At 41.6% G+C, this 22,933-nt stretch overlaps 1 protein-coding gene across 7 annotated transcripts in view; it reads left to right on the top strand.

Annotated features, from left to right (window-relative positions):
* Positions 389-22,933, top strand: part of FCRL5 (Fc receptor like 5) — a 39,139-nt gene continuing 16,594 nt past the window's right edge. For 4 of the 7 annotated variants that reach the window (XM_011510031.3, NM_001195388.2, NM_031281.3 and 1 more), the window contains exons 1-8: positions 389-572; positions 3,324-3,344; positions 5,707-5,961; positions 7,822-8,073; positions 8,358-8,642; positions 9,767-10,045; positions 13,540-13,818; positions 18,012-18,290. In XM_011510031.3, the coding sequence (XP_011508333.1) occupies positions 542-572; positions 3,324-3,344; positions 5,707-5,961; positions 7,822-8,073; positions 8,358-8,642; positions 9,767-10,045; positions 13,540-13,818; positions 18,012-18,290 (1,681 nt within the window). In that variant the 5' untranslated portion in view covers positions 389-541. Of the gene's footprint in view, positions 573-3,323; positions 3,345-5,706; positions 5,962-7,821; positions 8,074-8,357; positions 8,643-9,766; positions 10,046-13,539; positions 13,819-18,011; positions 18,291-18,556; positions 20,941-22,933 lie in introns of those variants that run through there. The other 3 variants (XM_047431422.1, XM_011510030.3, XM_011510032.3) reach the window with 3 other exon arrangements.

Genomic DNA, 22,933 nt, shown 5'->3' with positions numbered 1-22,933 from the left:
TGGGATAATACTACAAAACCAATCTATATCTCACTTTTATTCTCTTCACATCAAACAAGGTGGTCTTCCCTTCTTGGCATGTTCAGATTTACCTTATTCTTTAATGATTGCTTGTCACCATACGGATGAATCAGAATATTCTTAAACAGTCCCCATATCATGGTTTTTTGTTTTGTTTCCAGTGTTTAGGCAATAATGAATGCTACAATAAACGTTCTTATAGTACTCTCTTCAGATACTTCCTTCAGGGTAATTTCCCAATAGCAAAAATGTAGGGTCAAGGGTATTTGATTTTTTAAAACCTTAACTTTTTTTTTTCTTTGATCATCGGGTAGGAAACTGTGATTAGCAGCTGAAGACGGGTACTCCCACTTCCTTTTTTCAATTCACTAATGCATTCTGCTCTTTTTGAGAGCACAGCTTCTCAGATGTGCTCCTTGGAGCTGGTGTGCAGTGTCCTGACTGTAAGATCAAGTCCAAACCTGTTTTGGAATTGAGGAAACTTCTCTTTTGATCTCAGCCCTTGGTGGTCCAGGTCTTCATGCTGCTGTGGGTGATATTACTGGTCCTGGGTGAGTAAAAGGGCTCACCATGGGCCCTGGGTGGGATCGGGACAGCTTCTCTCTCCACCGCAGGCCTGGTCCTTTCTTGGGGCTCAGCCCCTGCTGAGAGACTCTCTCCTACATTAGGAGACTGTATTTTTGAACTTTACTCTGTAGCTCAGGGCTTTCTCTTGAGGCTGAAGAAAATGGCCACAGCTGGAAGGAATTTTCAATCTTACAGAGTAGGAAACCACAATAACCACAACAATTAAAATTTCATTTATTTTTTTCTTTAAAAAGTACTTCTTAAAGTCCAGAGAATGTTTCATGTTTGTTTGTTCATATTGTCTTACTCATAGAAGAGCCCACTCTCCTCTCTGCAGAGGAGATGTATTTATTCCTTGTATGACAAGGCCAGATCCTGGTCCCCAGCATAAGAGGCAAGGTTTCTAACGGGAAAGACAGGTCTTTCTCTTGTACATAATTGCAAACCACTGCAGCAATTGGCTGATTAAGAACATGGGGTGGAGGAGGTCGCAGAGGCGTAGGTGGACAAAGCAAGGATAAATCTAAAGCATATGACTTTCTCTTTGTCCCTGTGGGTGTACGTAAGTCTCTATCAACTCATATGTGCGAACTGGTTGATTTTTACTAAAGGTTAAATATTATAATTAAATATGTTTATTTATTTGTTCAGCAAATGTGTTTAGTAATATCTATGCACAGGTGCTGAGCAATTAGAGTCCATAGGAGACACTACGTCTATGTTCTGGAAAGTCATGACATAGAAGGGCTCCCAGCAAGGCCAATGTACTTTCAAGCAGCTATGCAACAAGCTCCCAGTTAAATAATTGTCCAGGCAAAGTTACCAATGAATGCTGTAGGCAGATAATAAACTGTATTCAAAATAGCTAGTAAAGACTTCATGAAACTTAGAGGTGAGTAGGAGCTAGAGGAGCAGAAATGGAGCAGGCGTGATATAAGAAAAGAGGACCTCACAGTTGGAAGGTGCATGGACTATAATTCCTGAAGTAGGAATACATCTCAGTGTGGCCCCACACAATGTGGGTAATGGCCAGGTCCTGAGCATGAGAGGGCAAAGTTTATAACATGGGCTCTGGGGTCAAACAGGATCTAGGTTCAAACTTCATCTTGCCACCTACTGGCTACCAGATTCCTGGTCTACAAAATGCAGTTAATCCTAGTGCTTACCTCACAGGATTATTGACATGGTTATATGAAATAACCTACGTAAATGCAGACCATATAGAAACCACTCACAAAAATATTAGCTTCATTTAAAACAATGCAAAGATGAAGGAAGCCAAAATATTCAGGTGAATGGTGAATAATTTGTTGTTCTCAGTAAAACACTTAAGTTTGGATAAGTCTCCAATAGCCTCATGTGGACAGGGATGATTTGTCTCTCACACACTCCTGGATTTCTATTGCCTTGCTCTGGAGTATGATTGGCATTCCAAAAATCTGTTGAATAAATAAATCAACCCATATGCAGAATACCTACTCAATTGATAAACCTGCCAGTTTTGTGTCCTCTCTCTCTTCATTACCCATTTCTCAAATCTCTATCCTTCTATTCCTATATTATTAACCTAGTTCTTTAATTAATTCATTATACAACACAAATATATTTAGTGAACATTAAAGGAATATCTTTTATATGCCATTCACCGTTATAGGTCCTGGAGGATATATGGTGAACATAAGGAAAGTCCTAGGTCTCATAGAGCTTGCATTATAGAGAAGGGAAAATAAACAAGCAGATAATGAAGATAATTTGGATAAATACTCTGACAAAAATTACACATTACCATCTCTTGGGCTGAGCATCAGGTCTAAATAATCTGAGCATCAGTTGATTGTTTAAAAATTAGGCATGATGATAATGAGCCCTTGGATTCAATGATCTCATGAAAAGAGTATAGCCTGGAGTCTGGTGCCCAAGGGAGGCTTAATTCATGTCCATTTCCTTGCCCTGCCTTCTAATCAGTCTCCCTGCTTCATATTGTCCCATTAAATTCTGTCCACTGACAGAGTGCTCCATCAAAGTCTGAAATTCTAACCTTGTCAATCTCCTCCTTGAAACCATTCCATGACTCCTTATCACTTTTATAATAAAATTAGAACCACTTACTCAGGCCCTGCATGCTTCTCTGGTCTTATTTCCCCCAACACTCCCAGTTCCTGAGCACCAATGTCATTTCTCCACTTCTGTGCCCTTTCTACCTTGAAAGGTAGAAATCGCCTCTTACCACACACAAATGCTAACATCCACCTGCAGACTCATGTTCTCACTCACAGTTTTGTGAAGTATCATCTCCTTCAGGTACCTTCAAGGATCCACCCATCCTGTTCAACACATGTACACACAAACACACACTCTACACACACACATATATCCTACACACTGGGCTAGTGGCCCTTCTGCCCCCAACATACCCCATGTGTATTTCTGTTATTGCACTTACACCCTGTGTTATATTATTTTAAATCGTGTTTCTGTTTTTCCACTAGTCAACTTCTTGATGGCAGATACCATTTTTAAAATTCATTGTAGAAGTCCAAATACCATGCCATATATATATGTATATATATGTATATTTATGTGTATATATATACATTTGATGAATAATTATTAGAGTTTTTAAATGAATTTTTTAAAGGGACAAGTAATACATGCATGGGTAAAAAAGGGAATTATCTTCTTAAAACAAAATAATCATGGTTCTGTGCTCATCTCTGGCTCTTATTTTTTTGCAGCTCCTGTCAGTGGACAGTTTGGTGAGTTCTCCTGTCTTTGGCTCTTCAGCGTCTCTGGTTAAGAGTGTCTCTTCCTAATAAATAGAAAACATTTGTGATGGCTGCCTGAGATCTCCAATATCTCCTGTTTTCTTTCCTTTTTTTTATTATACTTTAAGTTTTAGGGTACATGTGCACAACGTGCAGGTTTGTTATATATGTATACATGTGCCATGTTGGTGCGCTGCACCCACTAACTCGTCATTTAACATTAGGTATATCTCCTAATGCTATCCCTCCCCCCTCCCCCCACCCCACAACAGGCCCTGGAGTGTGATGTTCCCCTTCCTGTGTCCAAGTGTTCTCATTGTTCAATTCCCACCTATGAGTGAGAACATGCGGTGTTTGGTTTTTTGTCCTTGCAATAGTTTGCTGAGAATGACAGTTTCCAGCTTCATCCATGTCCCTACAAAGGACATGAACTCATCATTTTTTATGGCTGCATAGTATTCCATGGTGTATATGTGCCACATTTCCTTGATCCAGTCTATCATTGTTGGACATTTGGGTTGGTTCCAAGTCTTTGCTACTGTGAATAGTGCCGCAGTAAACATACGTGTGCATGTGCCTTTATAGCAGCATGATTTGTAGTCCATTGGTTATATACCTGGTAATGGGATGGCTGGGTCAAATGGTATTTCTGCTTCTAGATCCCTGAGGAATCGCCACACTGACTTCCACAATGGTTGAACTAGTTTACACTCCCACCAACAGTGTAAAAGTGTTCCTATTTCTCCACATCCTCTCCAGCACCTGTTGTTTCCTGACTTTTTAATAATTGCCATTCTAACTGGTGTGATATGGTATCTCATTGTGGTTTTGATTTGCATTTCTCTGATGGCCAGTGATGATGAGCATTTTCTCATGTGTCTTTTGGCTGCATAAATGTCTTCTTTTGAGAAGTGTCTGTTCATATCCTTCACCCACTTTTTGATGGGGTTGTTTGAATTTTTCTTGTAAATTTGTTTGAGTTCATTGTAGATTCTGGATATTAGCCCTTTGTCAAATGAGTAGATTGCAAAACTTTTCTCCCATTCTGTAGGTTGCCTGTTCACTCTGATGGTAGTTTCTTTTGCTGTGCAGAAGTTCTTTAGTTTAATTAGATCCCATTTGTCAATTTTGGCTTTTGTTGCCATTGCTTTTGGTGTTTTAGACATGAAGTCCTTGCCCATGCCTATGTCCTGAATGGTATTGCCTAGGTTTTCTTAAAGACTTAAATGTTAGACCTAAAACAATATCTCCTGTTTTCTTGCTGAGGTCAGCAGGGATTTCAAAGTGATGCCTGGTTTTTTGGCATCGTCCAAGGGCCAGGATAGCTTCATGGTCACCCTCTGACCCTCCCTGGGGGAAGGGGTGAATGCCCAAGCAGCTCCCAGCCTTTGCTAAGCCCTGCATTTACTATTATTGCCAACAGACCCCATTTAGCCAGGCAGGACATCTTCAACTCCATGGCAAGTATATTGACTCAGGATAGGATCCTCTCAATCAGCGAGCCAGAAAAATACCCTGAAAATATCCCACTGTGCTGATGCCAGCAGGAATGCTGCATTCTCTACACTTTGGAGTAAAATCCTCCAGGACATCCAATAACTGGGTCCTTACAAAAAAGAAAGGCACAGAAAGGGGAGATGGGGAGAAGACAAGTTATCTGCATCCCACATTTAATTAGTTCTGGCTCTTACTGCCATTCCTTTGGCTCTGAGTGGATAATTGAGAACCCATGAACAGCAACAACCCTCTACAACCCCTCTCCTTGTCCAAATCAGTGGCCCCAGCTGTAACTTTGTCCTGGTCACCTCTGGATGTCAGTGAGTGACTTGTCCCTTCCTTGCTCTGCCACAATTAGCTGTGATGGGATTCTTCTGGGCACTTGAATCATCATCTACAAAATGAAGATATTAGGTAAGTTGAGCTCTCAAGGTTTTCTCAGGGACAAATCTTAAGATAATATGATTTATTCTCTTAGGGAAAGTGCAAAATTGTGATTTTAACATAACCTTTGGAGTTTCTTATGAGTGTATGAACATGATGAAATGGCAGCGCAGCATTGATTTTCTCTGGGACCCACTTCCATGTAAGGCTACCTAACTGTGATATTTGATGGCGAATCCTGCTGGTGTCACCCTCCTGAAATCATTTTGCTCATTGCCATCCCCTGGGCAATTTCTCCCTTGGGTGAGGTGAGGGCCACTGGCTGACAGGGAGCTTTGAGCTATCAGTGACCCTCCCAGAGGACCTCTTTCAGATCCTCCAAACCCAGGTCCTTCAGGCTATGCAGCAGGAGGCCCTGAGGCTGGGTCTGCAGGCGCCTCCACCTCAGACTCCTTTTCTCTTTCCTCTTCAGCAAGGACACCCAGGCCCATTATTTTCCTCCAGCCTCCATGGACCACAGTCTTCCAAGGAGAGAGAGTGACCCTCACTTGCAAGGGATTTCGCTTCTACTCACCACAGAAAACAAAATGGTACCATCGGTACCTTGGGAAAGAAATACTAAGAGAAACCCCAGACAATATCCTTGAGGTTCAGGAATCTGGAGAGTACAGATGCCAGGCCCAGGGCTCCCCTCTCAGTAGCCCTGTGCACTTGGATTTTTCTTCAGGTGAGAGAGCGTGAAAGACGCACCAACTTTAGAAATCAATTCAGCCCATGTTTCTCTCTAGCTGTTATTACTGTTTACCTCAGACCCTTCATGAGTGGACAATTTTATTTCACACTGTGGTAAGACAAGGAGAGAGTAAAAAGCTCAGAATACAACCAGACAGGGAATGGGGTTAGCTGCTTAATTTTAAACATTAAAATAAATAGAATTTTTACTTGAGTGGATTAATGTCTCTAAACCTGTGGTTCTTAAAGTTTGATTTGAGTCAGAAAGCCTGGGCAGCTTATCAACCATACAGATACTCAGGACCTACCTATGCTTATTCAATAGAAACCTGTAGAAGTGGGGTCCAGCAATTTATATTTTTTACAAGCCTCTCCGGTACCAGAAAGTCTGAGGATTAATTTATTTGAGTGGTTCCTGAATCTATGTATAGCTTTTTGGTTTGGTTTGGTTTGGTTTGGTTTGGTTTGGTTTGGTTTGGTTTGGTTTTTTGAGATGGAGTCTCGCTCTGTCACCCAGGCTGGAGTGCAGTGGCGTTATCTCGGCTCACTGCAACTTCTGTCTCCCGGGTTCAAGCAATTCTCCCACCTCGGTATCCCTAGTAAGTAGGACTACAAGAGCCCGCCATCACACCTGGCTAATTTTTGTATTCTTAGCAGAGATGGGATTTCCTCATGCTGCCCAGGCTAATGTTGAACTCCTGGGCTCAAGTGATCTGCTCACCTAGGCCTCTCAAAGCGCTGGGATTACAGGTATGAGCCACTGCACCCGGCCTCTATGTATAGTTTTAAGTCACATTATTTACTTGGAATAATAAGTGGCAGGAGAATTGTTCATACTTATGGGTAGATAATGCATAGGTAGATAAATATACAGAGAAAGAAAGATAAAGGAAGAGACATTTCCTTCCTTGTCCTAAAGCCACCTGTTTTGAAGTTGAAGTTACATCATTTTTTAATGTAGTGGAAGCAGTGTACTAGCAAGGAATAAACAAAAATGTTTATACTCTTTGACTTAACAATCCGTCTCTTAAGAATTTGCCTACTGAAACAATCACAGATGTCCATCCCTGAAAATGGCAGACCTTAACATGGTTTAGAAAAAGAATACCTGGCCAGGCGCGGTGGCTTACGCCTGTAATCCCAGCACTTTGGAAGGCCAAGGCGGGTGGATCACGAGGTCAGGAGATTGAGACCATCCTGGCTAACACTATGAAACCCCGTCTCTACTAAAAATACAAAAAATTAGCCGGGCTTGGTGGCGGGTGCCTGTAGTCCCAGCTACTCGGGAGGCTGAGGCAGGAGAATGGCATGAACCCGGGAGATGGAGCTTGCAGTGAGCCGAGATAGCACCACTGCAGTCCTGCCTGGGTGAAAGAGTGAGACTCCGTCTCAAAAAAAAAAAAAAAAAAAAAAAACTCATTAAAGAAATTACATTACTGCCAGTGAAGGAAAACCGCAAACATTAAAAATCAGGTTCAATAATGATACTAATGATGTAGGAAAGTGTTCATAGCATAGTAAGTGAAAGGAAAGTTATCAAATCTACAAATATTAATATTATTCCATAAAAGAAATACGCATGAGCTCCAAGTACTTGAAAGTGGAAGAGAAAACTGGAAAAACATATGCCAAAACATGGGTGGTGAGATGGTAGGTGATTTTACCTACATTTCTGCTTTTCAACTTTTCTTAAGGTGTATGTGTTCATTTTTAAATCAGAAAAAAAGAAATGATAATTATTTTAAGAGTTCTTTTTCCCAACCCATTTTTTTAAAATAAAATCTACTTGGAAAAACAATGAAAAGAAAGGGGAAACAGTAGGATGAACCAAATAACTCTATTGTGTTTCTCATAGCTTCGCTGATCCTGCAAGCTCCACTTTCTGTGTTTGAAGGAGACTCTGTGGTTCTGAGGTGCCGGGCAAAGGCGGAAGTAACACTGAATAATACTATTTACAAGAATGATAATGTCCTGGCATTCCTTAATAAAAGAACTGACTTCCATATTCCTCATGCATGTCTCAAGGACAATGGTGCATATCGCTGTACTGGATATAAGGAAAGTTGTTGCCCTGTTTCTTCCAATACAGTCAAAATCCAAGTCCAAGGTAAAGCCTTCATTATTTTGTGAAGTGAGTTGGTCAAAAGGAGATTCCTTGGGGTCATAGAGATAGAACAGGAGGAAAAGGGTGGACTGGAATACCACTAAACCACAGGACACATTCCTGCAAGGAGCAGAGGAAGTATAGTAGTGTTTTGGGCTGAAGGAAGCTAGGGATCAATGGCATTCCTTTCTTTGCCTGCTTTTGGATGTGCTGCTGCTTGAAGTGTGCTTTTCTCCAAAGCAGTTCCAGCCTCATTGCTCTGGGACTGTTGTGATTCTTCTCTCTAGAGCCATTTACACGTCCAGTGCTGAGAGCCAGCTCCTTCCAGCCCATCAGCGGGAACCCAGTGACCCTGACCTGTGAGACCCAGCTCTCTCTAGAGAGGTCAGATGTCCCGCTCCGGTTCCGCTTCTTCAGAGATGACCAGACCCTGGGATTAGGCTGGAGTCTCTCCCCGAATTTCCAGATTACTGCCATGTGGAGTAAAGATTCAGGGTTCTACTGGTGTAAGGCAGCAACAATGCCTTACAGCGTCATATCTGACAGCCCGAGATCCTGGATACAGGTGCAGAGTAAGTGTTGGTGGAACCTGAGATTTGCTGCAGAGAGGGCTGGAAAAGTGGGACAGGGCTGCATATCAGCGTGGGTCACCAGTCTCTGTAGAAAAAACTCGTACCTGTGAGAATGGGAGTTGTGCAAGCAAAGAGACCTCTACTCTTGTGAACATCTTAGAAGAGCTTAGACCCAGGAAAATCCAAGAAAAGAAAGGTCTAATTTTTTTTCTTTCAATGCCATTAAATACAATTCTTTCTTTTCTCTCGCAGGGTTCTCTTCCCTGACATCATTTTTTTTTCTTCTAGGCCCATAGGGATAAGCCATGGGCTGTGGCATAGCTCTCTGACTCTGGTGTACAGAGGTATCTGTTGTCCCAATTAACATTACTTATTGACAATAACCAAAGTGAAAATTTCTGTAGGATACAAAGACAGGTTGCAACATTATAGTTACTCCAAATATGTGACTCTGGAGGTTTACCATTCCCTAGTTATGAGTACAAATATGCACCCCAGATTACATCACCTCCCTTACTAGTATACAGCACCATCCTTCCTTCAAAGCTATTATGGTAGTTACAGTGATGAGGGAAAAACAGCTTCTGTAGAGCCCTGTGTCATCCCTCCACTCATGGCAAACTCCGGGCTCACTTATAAGGAGGCAATGTGATCATCACCAGACTAGGAGTCAGGACACCAACTCTGGCCCTGGCTGGCCCTGAAAACAGCCTACACAGGCAGGTCTCCTAGTCTCTCCTTGACTCAGTTTTCTCACCTGTAAATAAAGAAGGTCAGTCTGGGCCAAGGGAGAGAGTAGGAGCAGAAGAAAAAGCTCTAGAAGACTATGCTAATCTTTAAGGAAAAACTAGCAATGGCAAATAAATCCCTGAGGCCAATGCAAGTGAAGGAGAAATAAACAGGGATAGGAAAGAAGACTCAGAATAATTGGGCACTTCAGGTGCAACATTCCATAGTCATAGGGCAGAAGGAAGGAGCAAGAAGCAGGTGCAGGTAAGGGTGTGTGGTTCTGATGGCAGCAAGTTAAGGGTGGAGACTGGAGACTGGGCATTTGCACTGGCCATGCCTTGTAATCTACAGTAAGAGGCAAAAGCAATTCTTGACTAATTTTTTCTCTTGCTCAGTCCCTGCATCTCATCCTGTCCTCACTCTCAGCCCTGAAAAGGCTCTGAATTTTGAGGGAACCAAGGTGACACTTCACTGTGAAACCCAGGAAGATTCTCTGCGCACTTTGTACAGGTTTTATCATGAGGGTGTCCCCCTGAGGCACAAGTCAGTCCGCTGTGAAAGGGGAGCATCCATCAGCTTCTCACTGACTACAGAGAATTCAGGGAACTACTACTGCACAGCTGACAATGGCCTTGGCGCCAAGCCCAGTAAGGCTGTGAGCCTCTCAGTCACTGGTAAGCCCTGCATTCCTGCCAATCACCCACCCCTGGCCAAGAGTCCTGCCTCACCCTGCCCTTCGGAAGTCAGCATATACCTTCCAGTATCCTCAGTTTCTTTCTTGGGAAAACCTAATGTCCTCCTCCACTCTCCGGCTCACTGAACCAGCTGTCTGCCTCTTGAGTCTCGTTGCATTGCAGTCTAGGTGCCCTTATACCCCTGCCTGATGGTGCAGTGGCTTTCTATCCCCTGGTTCCCAATTTCTGAGAAGCCAAGTGCTTTTCTTGTGCTTTCCACTTGTCCTGTGGCTCCCCAGATGACTGATTTTCATTCACTATATTATTCTCAGTAGACACAGACTCAATTTCCAGGAGCACAGAGGTATCTCCTGTTCTGTTAATATCAGACATTAATCAATAAACCAAAGGCAAAGACATGTAAGACACAAAGACAAGTCGCTGGATCATAGTTAACCCAGCATGTCCTTCTTGCTCAAGCCTTTTTTAGAGTTGATGGGCAGTAGGTAAGAAAGGCACGGGCAATGGTGGGCTGGGGGCAGGCCAGGAGATAGCTTCACCTCTACTTGCTTGGCTTAATGCCCTCAGAGCTATTCAGGTAGCTGCCAAATAGTTATGACATCAAAAAGGTTTCCTTTGAGCTTTGGATCTCAGTTTCGAACCATCCATGCATGGCTGAATGCCAGGTCCAATGTTGAAGGAGACAGTGTGATTTGGGTCTATACTGGTGACAGAGAGTCCAGTCTTGGTTGGTCCTGGAAGCGGCATCAGTTTCCTTTCCTGTAAAACAATAATACCAGCTTGGAAGACAAGCAAGAATCCAGTCCCTCCCACATGGATGTGTGAGATTATAAAGGAGAGGACCAGGGAACCCAGCGGGAGACATCAAATGACGTAGAAAGAGAACAGTGTCCCTGACATTCAGTGGCCCAAAGAAAGTGGAGACAGTGACATCATGATCAAACATGCTCAGAGATGTTTAAAGTCCTATTCAATGACTCACTTCTTCACCTAATAAATGCTGATTGCATATATTCCATGGACCAGACTGTACTGACATCTAAAGATGCATCTACGACTACACTAACCTGGCCTTCCCCACACAGTTCGTAGGGGCTAATAGCAAATGCAGTCAAGTAAGAGATTAAACATCAACCTGAGGATAGAAGCACCTGGTGGCTGCAGGAGCAGATGGAAAGGCATGCCAATCTGAGTTGGGAAGTGAGAAAAAATTTCTTGGAAGAACTCATGTGTGAGTTGAGACCTGAGGATGAGTGGGAACATTTCAGGAGAAGAGGATTGTGGTGAGGGAGGGAAGGCATGTTCCAGGAACTGGAGGGGCAGTCGGTTCTTGACGACTGCAGCACAGACTGAACAGTGGAGAAAGGTAGGATAAGGTTGGAGAGGAAGGTATGTTTAGACCATATTTAGAAGCAGAGTAAGGGCTTGGGCCATATTTTGCAGGGCAATCTGGGCTCCATGAATGCTTTAAATCTTGGGGAAAACCACTCCAGCAGCACAGTGAGAAATGAGTCATAGAGCAGCCAGTTTGGGGGGCAGCCAGGAGTAAAAGAGAGGGTTCATCAAGAGAGCGTCCAGTTGGAGCAAACCCCAGGCCAGTCCCAGTAGAGGAGTTGGGACTTGAGAAGGAAGGACTCCGGTTGAAGCAAGAGGCACTGTGAGAGTGTGCCCCACTGTCACCAAGGGCAGAATGTGTTCTAAGCAGAAGAGAGGGAGCTGGTTTGGATAAGGCAAAGCTAAGAGATGATGACAGATAAAAACTGAGTCACATCCAGTGAATTTAGCCACAAAGTACTCTTTGGCAGAAGACAGACTAGAATCAGAATACCTGGGTTTGACTGCTGCCTCTTCACTTACTAGCTGTGTGACTCACCCACTCGGGGCCTCAGCATGTTCATCTGTGAAAGAGGGGCAACAATAATACCCACCTCAATGAATTGCTTAGATGATTAAATTAGAGTCTCTCTATATATCGATATTTACAAATTACATCCAACAAATATACAAACACCAGAACTTACTTAAAGACACTATAGTGTCATTATAACAAACATCTATTTTATTATTTTTATCTTTATCATCATAATTATATTCAGAAACATGAAAATCCACTTTAGTAGATTGTTGGGGATTAAAACCAAGTTGTAATGGACAAAACATGCATATGAGATATGAGATAAAGAAGTAGAGATGTTAAAGGTAGGTCACTTCTTCCAGAAGACTGACTACAGAAAGGCGGAGAAACCGACTGTGAGGAACTGCAAATGCAAATAGGGTTGTTTTTCTATTGTCTGATGGTTTTTTTTTTTTTTAAACATGGAGAGGGTTAAACACATGCAAATGGTGTTTGCAAGAAGCCAGTAGAGGTAAAAACCTTTTATCTAGGACAGAGGCAGGTGAGCACAGGATGAAAAGACAGAAGAAAATCCCCCCAGGCAGGCCAAGGAGGGCTCCTCCATAGCCTCAGGGCCCAGGTCAGAGTGAGGAGCTGATGCAGGTAAGGGTGTGGTTCTGCTGGTGGAAAGACAAGGGAATTCTTTGAGAGCAACATCTCTGCACAACAGAGGCAGGTCCTACAACAAGGGGAGCTGGGAGAGGAGAAAAGACAAGAGGTCTGGTGGAAAAGGAAAAGACAGGGAATGACTAGGATGGAGGACAGGAGAGCTGGTGAGAGTAGCCTGGGAAGTGGCTGGGTCACCCTGCAGGTGGGTAGAGCCTGTGGACTGGAGACTGAACAACTGCACTGGTGAAACATTGAATCTGTGAACCAAAAACTATCTGAGACAGGTCTCAATCAATTTGGATAGTATATTTTGCCATGGCTAAAGACATGTGCCCCAGATTCAGCTCCCTGCCTTCTCCAAAGATGATTTTGAGGGTTTCAATATTTAAAGGTGAAAGGGAAGATATGGAGAAAAAGGAAGAAATTTTTTTAAAAGTATGTGTAAATAACAGACAAACAGTTGCATTCTTTTGAGTCTTTGATCAACCTTTAGCAGAATACACAATTTACATGTGAGAGAGGGGCAGAGGAATAGTCACTTCTGTCTTCCTTTAGCCCAGTGAGTCTGCATTTTTAAGTCAGGGAAATAATCAGATATGCATTTGTCTCCTGTAAGCAGCAATGACTTAAAGTTCTGTCTTTTGTCCTGCACTTGTGAAAATCAGCTATCAATTTACACTGTTAGGGTAAAACAGAACCATTTAAAACAGAACCATTTTAGGGTAAAGATCTTGGGGCCCACAAATAATATTTCAGTGGACAAATTTTGAGGGAGGTATGTAGCTTTTAGAAAAGTCTTTGAAGTTATCTTATTAAGGAATAAAATAAAAAGCAGGTTTGCCTGAAATAGTTCCCAGCTTGACTTTTCCCTTTGGCTTAGTGATTTGGGGTTCCCAAGATTTATTTTCCTTTTATGAAAACTACAGCAGGAGGCAGAAACAAATCTTGACTAATTTTTTCTCTCTCTCAGTTCCCGTGTCTCATCCTGTCCTCAACCTCAGCTCTCCTGAGGACCTGATTTTTGAGGGAGCCAAGGTGACACTTCACTGTGAAGCCCAGAGAGGTTCACTCCCCATCCTGTACCAGTTTCATCATGAGGGTGCTGCCCTGGAGCGTAGGTCGGCCAACTCTGCAGGAGGAGTGGCCATCAGCTTCTCTCTGACTGCAGAGCATTCAGGGAACTACTACTGCACAGCTGACAATGGCTTTGGCCCCCAGCGCAGTAAGGCGGTGAGCCTCTCCGTCACTGGTAAGCCCTGGGTTCCTGCCAATCACCCACCCCTGGCCAAGAGTCCTCTCTTACCCAACCCTTCAGAAGTCAGCGTGTACCTTCTAGTATCCTCTGTTTCTTTCTTGAAACAACCTAATATCCTCCTCCACTCTCTAGCTCACTGAACCAGCTGTCTGCCCCTTGAGCCTCATCCCATTGCAGTCTGGGTGCCTTCCCACCCCTGCCTAATGATGTAGCAGCTTTCTTTTCCCTGCTCCTCAAATTCTGAGCAGCCAATTGCTTTTCTTGTGCTCTCCACTTGTCCTGTAGATCTGCCAGATGCCTGATTTTTGTTTACTAAATTATTCTTAGTAGATATAGACTCAGACTCAGTTCTCAGGAGCACAGAAATGTCCCCTGTCCAGTTAACATCAGACATCAATGAATAACCAGATGCAAAGTCATGTAAGACACAAAGACAAGTCGCTGGATCACAGTTAACCCAACATGTCTCCCTTGCTCAAGCCTTTTTTAGGGTTGATTGGGCAGTAGGTAAGAAAGGCACAGACAGCAGTGGGCTGAGGGCAGGTCAGGAGACAGCTTAACCTCTACTTGCTTGGCTTAATGCCCTCACGGCTACTCAGGTAACTGTCAAATAGTTATGACATCAAAAAGGTTTCCTTTGAGCTTTGGATCTCAGTTTTGAACCATCCATGTGTGGCTAAATGGCCAGGTTCAATGTTGAAGGAGACAGTGTGATTTGGGCCTATACTGGAGACAGAGAGTCCAGTCTTGGTTGGTCCCGGAAGCGGCCTCAGTTTCCTTTCCTGTAAAACAATAATACCACCTTGGAAGACAAGCAAGAATCCAGTCCCTCCCACATGGATGTGTGTGATTATAAAGGAGAGGGCCAGGGAACCCAGGGGGAGTCATCAAATGATGTAGAAAAAGAACAGTACTCCTAACATTCAGAGGCCCAAGGAAAGTGGAGACAGGGACATCATGATCAAACACACTCAGAGATGTTTAAAGTCCTATTAAATGACCCACTTCTTCACCTACTAAATGCTGATTCTATATATACACCTAGATGTAGTGACATCTAAGGATGCATCTAAGACTACACTAACCTGGCCCTGCCCACACAGTTCACAGGGGCTAATAGCAAATGCAGTCAAGTAATAGAGAAAACATCAACCTAAGTTTAGAAGTACCTGGTGGCTGCAGGAGCAGATGAAAGGCATGCCAATCTGAGTTGGAAAGTGAGAAAACAATTCTTGGAATTTGAGATGATATCGGGGGAAATTCACCCCCAATATTTTACATAGGTTCTTTTCTATTTTCCCTAAGTGTCAGCTGGTCTCAGAAATAAAGGGACAGAGTACAAAAGAGAACAATTTTAAAGCTGGGTGTCCGGGGGCGACATCACATGTCGGCAGGTTCCATGATGCCCCTTAAGCCATAAAACCAGCAAGTTTTTATTAGTGATTTTCAAAAGTGGAGGGAGTGTACTAATAGGGTGTGGCTCACAGAGATCACATGCTTCACAAAGTAATAAAATATCACAAGGCAAATGGAGGCAGGGTGAGCTCACAGGACCACAGGACCGGGGCGAAATTAAAATTGCTAATGAAGCTTCGGGCACGCATTGTCATTGATAACATCTTATCAGGAGACAGGGTTTTGAGAGCAGACAACCAGTCTGACCAAAATTTATTAGGCAGGAATTTCCTCGTCCTAATAAGCCTGGGAGCACTACAGGAGACCAGAGCTTATTTCATCCCTCAGCAACGATCATAAAAGACAGCCATCCCCAAAGCGGCCATTTCAGAGGCCTCCCCTTAGGGACATATTCTCTTTCTCAGGGATGTTCCTTGCTGAGAAAAAGAATTCAGTGATATCTCTCCTATTTGATTTAGAAAGAAGAAAAATATGACTCTGTTCCACCCAGCTCACAGGCAGCCAGAGTTTAAGGTTATCTCCCTTGTTCCCTGAACATTGCTGTTATCCTGTTCTTTTTTCAAGGTGCCCAGATTTCATATTGTTTAAACAATTTGTGCAGTTAACACAATTATCACAGGGTCCTGAGGTGACATTCATCCTCAGTTTACAAAAATGATGGGATTAAGAGATTAAAGTAAAGACAGGCATAGGAAATCACAAGGGTATTGACTGTGGAAGTGATAAGTGTCCATGAAATCTTCACAATTTATGTTCAGAGATTGCAGTAAAGACAGGCATAAGAAATTATAAAAGTATTAATTTGGGGAACTAATAAATGTCCATGAAATCTTCAAAATTTATGTTCTTCTGCCATGGCTTCAGTTGGTCCCTCCATTCGGGGTCCCTGACTTCCCGCAACAAGATGAGACCTGATGGAGAAGAGGATTGTGGTGAGGGAGGGAGGACACTTTCAAGGAACTGGAGAGTGGTCAGTTCTTGATGACTGAACCATAGACAGAACAGTGGAGAACCACAAGATAAGGTTGGGGAAGACAACATCATTAGAACCTACTTAGAAGCAGAGTAAGGGCTTGGGCCATATTCTGCAGGGCAATCTGGGCTCCATGAAGGTTTTAAATGTTGGGGAAAACCACTCCAGCAGTACAGTGGGGATCAGGTCATAGAGCAACCTGTTTGAGGAGCAGCCAGGCGTGAAGGAGGGAGCCCAACAAGGGAGTGTCCAGTTGGACAGAACCCCCAGTCTAGTCCCAGTAGAGGAAATGGGACATGAGAAGGAAGGACTCTGGCCAAGGGAAAAGGCACTCACTGTGAGAGTGTGCCCCACTGTCACCAAGGGTAGAACATGTTCTAAGCAGATGATAGTGAGCCAGTTTGGATAAGGCAAAGCTAAGAGATGATGAAAGATAAAAACTGAGTCATGGCCAGGAGAGGTGGCTCATGCCTGTAATTCCAGCACTTTGGGAGGCTGAGGCAGGTGGATCACCTGAGGTCAGGAGTTTGAGACCAGCCTGGCCAACATAGTGAAATCCTGTGTCTACTAAAAATACAAAAATTAGCCAGGTGTGGTGGCGGTCGCCTGTAACGCCAGCTACTCAGGAGGCTGATGCAGGAGAATTGCTTGAATTCGGGAGGCAAAGTTTGCAGTGAGCTGAGATCATGCCACTGAATTCCAGGCTGGGTGACACAGTGAGACTCCATCTCAAAAAAAAAAAAAAAACTGAGTCACATCCAGTGAATTTAGCCACAAAGTACCCTTTGGCAGAAGAACACAGACTAGAACCAGAATACCTGGGTTTGACTGCTGCCTCTTCACTTACTAGCTGTGTGACTCAACCACTCGGGGCCTCAGTATTTTCATCTGTGACATAGGGACAACAATAATACCTACCTCATTGAATTGTTTTGATGATTAACTTAGTGTCTTTATACATATAGATATTCACAAATTACATCTGACAAATATACACACACCAGAACTTAAAGGCACTATAATCTCATTATAACAAATATCTTTTTTATATTTATCATTATCATCATTACTACATTCATAAACATGAAAAATCAGCTTTAGTAGATTATTGGGGGTAAAAACTGAGTTGTAATGGACAGAATATGCATATGAGATATGAGATAAAGAAGTAGAGATGATAAATGTAGGTCACTTCTTCCAGAAGTCTGTCCACAGAAAAGTGGAGGAACCAACTGTGAGGAACTTCAAATACAAATAAAGTTGTTTTTGAATTGTCTGATAGTTTTTCTTATATGGAGATAGTTAAACACACCAAAATGTAGTTTGGAAGAAGCCAAAAGAGGTAAGGACTTTATGTCTAGGACAGAGGCAGATGTGCACAAGGTCAAGAGACATAGGAAAATCCCCCTTGGGCAGGCCAGGCATGGCTCTTCCATGGTTGCAGGGAAGCCTGCATGGTTGCAGGAAGAAGTGAGGAGCGGTGCAAGTGAGTCTGGTGGTGGCAAGACAAGGAATTTTTTCCTTGAAAGCATCATCTCCTCTGCAAAAAGGAGGCAGGTCACACTACAAGAGGAGCCATGAGAGAAGAAGAGAGTATTGGTCTCCTGGAAAGATGAACAGATAGGGAAAGACCAGCATGGAGGGCTGGTCACAGAAACCTGAGAAGTTGCTTGGCTGCCCTCCAGGTAGGTGAAGTCTAGAGATCCTGTACTGGAGACTGGGCATCTGCACTGGCCAAGTGTTGAAATCTACAGTAAGAGGCAAAAGCAACTCTTGATTCAATCTTTCTCTTCCTCAGTCCCTGTGTCTCATCCTGTCCTCACCCTCAGCTCTGCTGAGGCCCTGACTTTTGAAGGAGCCACTGTGACACTTCACTGTGAAGTCCAGAGAGGTTCCCCACAAATCCTATACCAGTTTTATCATGAGGACATGCCCCTGTGGAGCAGCTCAACACCCTCTGTGGGAAGAGTGTCCTTCAGCTTCTCTCTGACTGAAGGACATTCAGGGAATTACTACTGCACAGCTGACAATGGCTTTGGTCCCCAGCGCAGTGAAGTGGTGAGCCTTTTTGTCACTGGTAAGTGCTGGGTTCTTGCCAGTCACCCACCCCTGGCTGAGTTCTCTCTCACCCATTCCTTTAAAAATCTGTTTGCACTGTCCAGTTTCCTCCCCTAATCAACTTAATCCCCTTCTTGGCTTCCTCCTCAACTAACTAGCTGGGGTTTTCCGTACTCATAAGTCCTGGCTCAGCCAGACCCCTAAAACAGCTCAGTAGATTCCCCAGCTTTTACCAAATGAATTTATTTATTGTATTTTCTCCTCATTCCTTGTATGTTCCAACAGTACGCCAATTTTTCTTGATGCACGGAGCGTGTCCTACTTCTCTACTGACATTTACATATTAACTTAGCTACAAGCACAGTCTTATAGATAAATATTGGTCAAGACCTTAAATTCTCCAAAGGATTTCCAATCTTATGGTAGATTTGGAGAAAGCTGCTGGTGAACAAAGGGGGAAATGGCTCCCTAGGAACCAACTCCTCAAACTTCTGGAGTTTTTATGATCCCTTGTTTTCTAACCTGCTAAAATCAGTATCATTTTATTGTATTATTTTAAAAAAACTATTGTTGAAGTATGACATACATTCAAGAAACGTGTGCAAATTGTATGTGTACGATTTGGTGTCTTTTTAGGAGCTAAGTTGCTTCTGTTTTTACTTGAATCTTTGTTTATAGAAACTGGGGGAAAGTTTACTTTCTTTTCAGAGAAGCCAAATGGTATGATAGAAAAATCTTGAGCCTGATGTGTCAGACATGCCCCTAGCATAACTTGTTGAGTAAAGAGGTTATTTTTAAAATGTGAATGTTCTGAGACTACTCCAAAGTCAGAGCCAAATCTACTAGGAAGCTTCTAGACTTCACTCATTCTGCATCCCATTACTATCTTTTTATCCATGTTTTACTTTCTTCTCATATTCAGCAGCATCTTAAGCCTCTTTATTTTCTGTTTCTTGACTGTCACCCTTAATGCCAGTAGAATGTAAGCTTCATGAGAACAGAACTGCATCCATCTTGGTCTTCACAACATCCCTGTGCCTACTCAGTGTTTGGCACACAGTAGGTCCTCAGTCAACATTTGTAATTTAGTGGACAGATGATATGACAAGATGATAAGAGGGGATTTAAAAAAATCATCTAGCAAAGCCCAAGAGGAAAAAAAACAAAGCTATTTTAGAAATGAAATACCAATTTGAAGCAGTAAGAATAGATTGGATATCTTTGAAAACCATTAATTGAATGAAGAACCAATTTGAGAAAACAATACAGAATGCAAAGTAGAAAGATACAGAAATAAAGGCAAAAATTATAATATGGAAATCAGACAATGGATTTGTCTGTATCCAGTTATGTGGATAATTAAAATGGAGACCCTCAGAAAATTGAACCGAAGAGTAAAATGAAACTCAAAAATGTAGTAGAAATTGTTGGGAAGTAAAGAAAACTTGAATATGTAGATCAGAACATATATGTTGATGACGTTATTGACTTTGAGGTTAAAAATATATATATGTGCCTATGATTATGGGGAAAAAAGCAGTCGTCTCAGAAAGAAAAACATCAAGTTAGTCTTAGACTTTGCAGTGCACTCAATACCAAAGAGAGAGGAGGTCCAGACTTGGACCTGCGAGGGAAGAATAATAACCGAAAATTTTATATCAATTCAAAAAGACATTGTCAAAAATACAGGGATTCAGGAAACTGAGAATGCACTAAGCCTTCTGGAAAAAACACCTAATGACAAAATCTAGCCCAACAAGATGTAAATGAATATAAAGGACTCATAATGAGGAAACCGCATTATGACTGGCTCTCAACCCTGGCTGCATATTAGACTCGTCAAAGACCTTTGTAAAAGGTCACACATTGACTCGTCAAAGCCCCTCTCCAGACTAATTCAATTCAGAATCTCACAGATGGGGCCACAGAATCAGTATTTTTTGACACAACCTCAAGTGAGAATATTGTGTAGACAAGATTGGAAACCACTGATTTAGATATAGAAACAAAGGCTAATCAACTGTGAGAATTATGGTCACAGAATAGAAAGTAACTATTATGAACACTGAAAATGTAAAAAAAATGTAACAAAGAAAAATAGTTAGAGGAAGGAGAGGAAGTAAAGGAACAATCATTTTCTCATGATTATTATTATTTCAGAGTAAATTGTGAGTTATTTCACAATTCAAAAAGAATGGACTGTTTTAAAAAATTAGTAATAGATTTCAAAATGTCCATTTTGTAAATCGTTTCTGAATACTTTGTCAACAGTTACTCATCATTAATGGCTTATACTTCACTAAAATTCCATGGAAAACCAACTAGTAGCCTGTAGAGTCACATAGGAGAGAACAAGTGAATTCTTTGGGTGGCGCAAGCATAGATGTTAGGACTGACAAAAAAAAAATAATAAAAATAAACCTGTGCATTGATATGATCACAAATGATCAGGGAAAGAGGAAACAGAAACTCTCATACGCCATTATTACAAGCGTAAATTGGTTCAACCTTTTCGTCTTAATTGACACATTGTAATTGTATATATTTATGGAAGCACAGTTTGATATTTTGATATACATACATGGTATATAACGATCAAATTAGGATATTTAATGTACCCATCATCTCATGCATTTATCATTTCTTTGGAATAAAAACATTCAAAAGCCTCTCTTCTAGCTTTTTTGTAATATATTATAACTGACCATTAACCATCATCACCAATAGAACAGAATTTATTCCTCCTGTCAAATTATAACTTTATACCCATTGACCAACTTCTCCCTATCCTCCTCTTCCCTCTCCCCTCCCCAGTCTCTGATAACCACAGTTCTATTCTCTGCTTCTATAGTATCAACTTTGTATTTTTTTAGATTCAAAATATGAGTGAAATCATGCAGTATCAGTCTCTCTGTGCCTGGATAATTTCATTAAATATGATATCCTCCAGGTCTTTTTATATTGCTGCAAATCACAGGATTTCATTATTTTTTATGGCTGAATACTATTCCATTGTGCATATATTCCACATTTTATTTATCTATTCATCTGCTGGGGGACACTTAGATTGCTTCTATATCTTGGCTATTGTGAACAGGGCTGCAATAAACTTGAGAGTGCAGATATCTCTTTAACATAGCGACTTTATTTCCTTTGAATATCCACCCAGCAGTGAAATTGATAGATAATATGGTAGCTCTATTTTTATTTTATTGAGAAACTTCCATGCTGTTTCTTGTGGTGGCTGTACTAATTTACAATGCCACCAGCAATGTAAGGGTTCCTTCCTCTCCACAACTTAACCAGCACTTGTTTTCTTCTGACTTTTTGATAACAGTCATTCTAACTGGAGTGAGGTTATACTTCATTGGCGTTTTAATTGTATTTCCCCAATAATTAGTGATATTGACCATTTTTTTCATGTACCTGTTGTCCATTTTTATGTCTTCTTTAGAGAAATGTCTGTTAAAGTCTTTTGCCCATTTTTTAATCAGCTTGTTTGGTTTTTTCCTGTTAAGCTCTTTATATATTCTGGATGTTAACACCTTGTCAGACATAAACTTTGCAAATATTTTCTCCCATTCTATAAGTTGTCTTTTTACTCTGTTAATTGTTTCCTTTGCTGTGCAAATTCTTTTCAGCTTGATGTAATCCCATTTGTCTAATATTTGCTTTTGTTGCCTGTACTTTTGTATTTTAAAAGGTCCAGTCTTTTAGAAGAACAATTTGACATTATATGTTATTACTTAAAATGTTTGTATACTTCATCCCAGAAATTCCATGTCTAAGAATTTATCCTAAGAAATGCATGTGTAAATATACAAAAATATATCTACAGAATTACTTAATGCAGCATCACTTGACATTTAAGAAACAACAACATCCCAAACATCCATTAATGGGAAAATGCTTAAATGTATTATAGCATATCTATACAATGGAATACTTTGTCATTGTTAAGAATAATCAGGTAAGTGGGGCATGGTGGCTCTCGCCTGTAATCCCAGCACTTTGGGAGGCCGAGGCGGGCAGATCACCTGAGGTTGGGAGTTCAAGACCAGCCTGATGGAGAAACCCTGTCTCTACTGAAAATACAAAATTAGCCGGGTATGGTCGTGCATGCCTGTAATCCCAGCTATTCAGGAGGCTGAGGCAGGAGAATCGCTTCAACCCGGATGGCGGAGGTTGTGCTGAGCCAAGATCGCGCCATTGCACTCCAGCCTGGGCAACAAGAGTGAAACTCTGACTCAAAATAAAATAAAATAAAATCAGGTAATATATTTCCAAAATTATCAAGTTGTAAATGTAAAAGTTATACTTTATTGTGTGTAAATTATGCTTTAATAAAGATGAGTTTTAAAAGTTAGTGATGTAGATTTTTAAGTAATACCACAGAAAGATGCCCATAATATATAGCTAAGGGGAAAAAGCAGGTTGTAGACCAGTATGTTATTGTGATCCCATGCACGTGTGTGATTTTAATGTATTTATTTATGTGTCTATGAGTGTACTTATACATAGAAAAGATCTAGAAAGTGTCACCAAATACTCAACAGAAGTAATTTCTGAAAAAATAAAGAAAATGGTAAAACTTTTTATTTTTACTTAGATAATTCTGTAAAGTTTGATTTTATTAAATGAATAGCTGGGTTTTTCATTTTT

Source organism: Homo sapiens, chromosome 1, assembly GCF_000001405.40.
Source record: "Homo sapiens chromosome 1, GRCh38.p14 Primary Assembly".
Lineage (NCBI taxonomy): Eukaryota > Metazoa > Chordata > Mammalia > Primates > Hominidae > Homo > Homo sapiens.
This window is presented reverse-complemented; position numbering and strand designations above follow the sequence as displayed.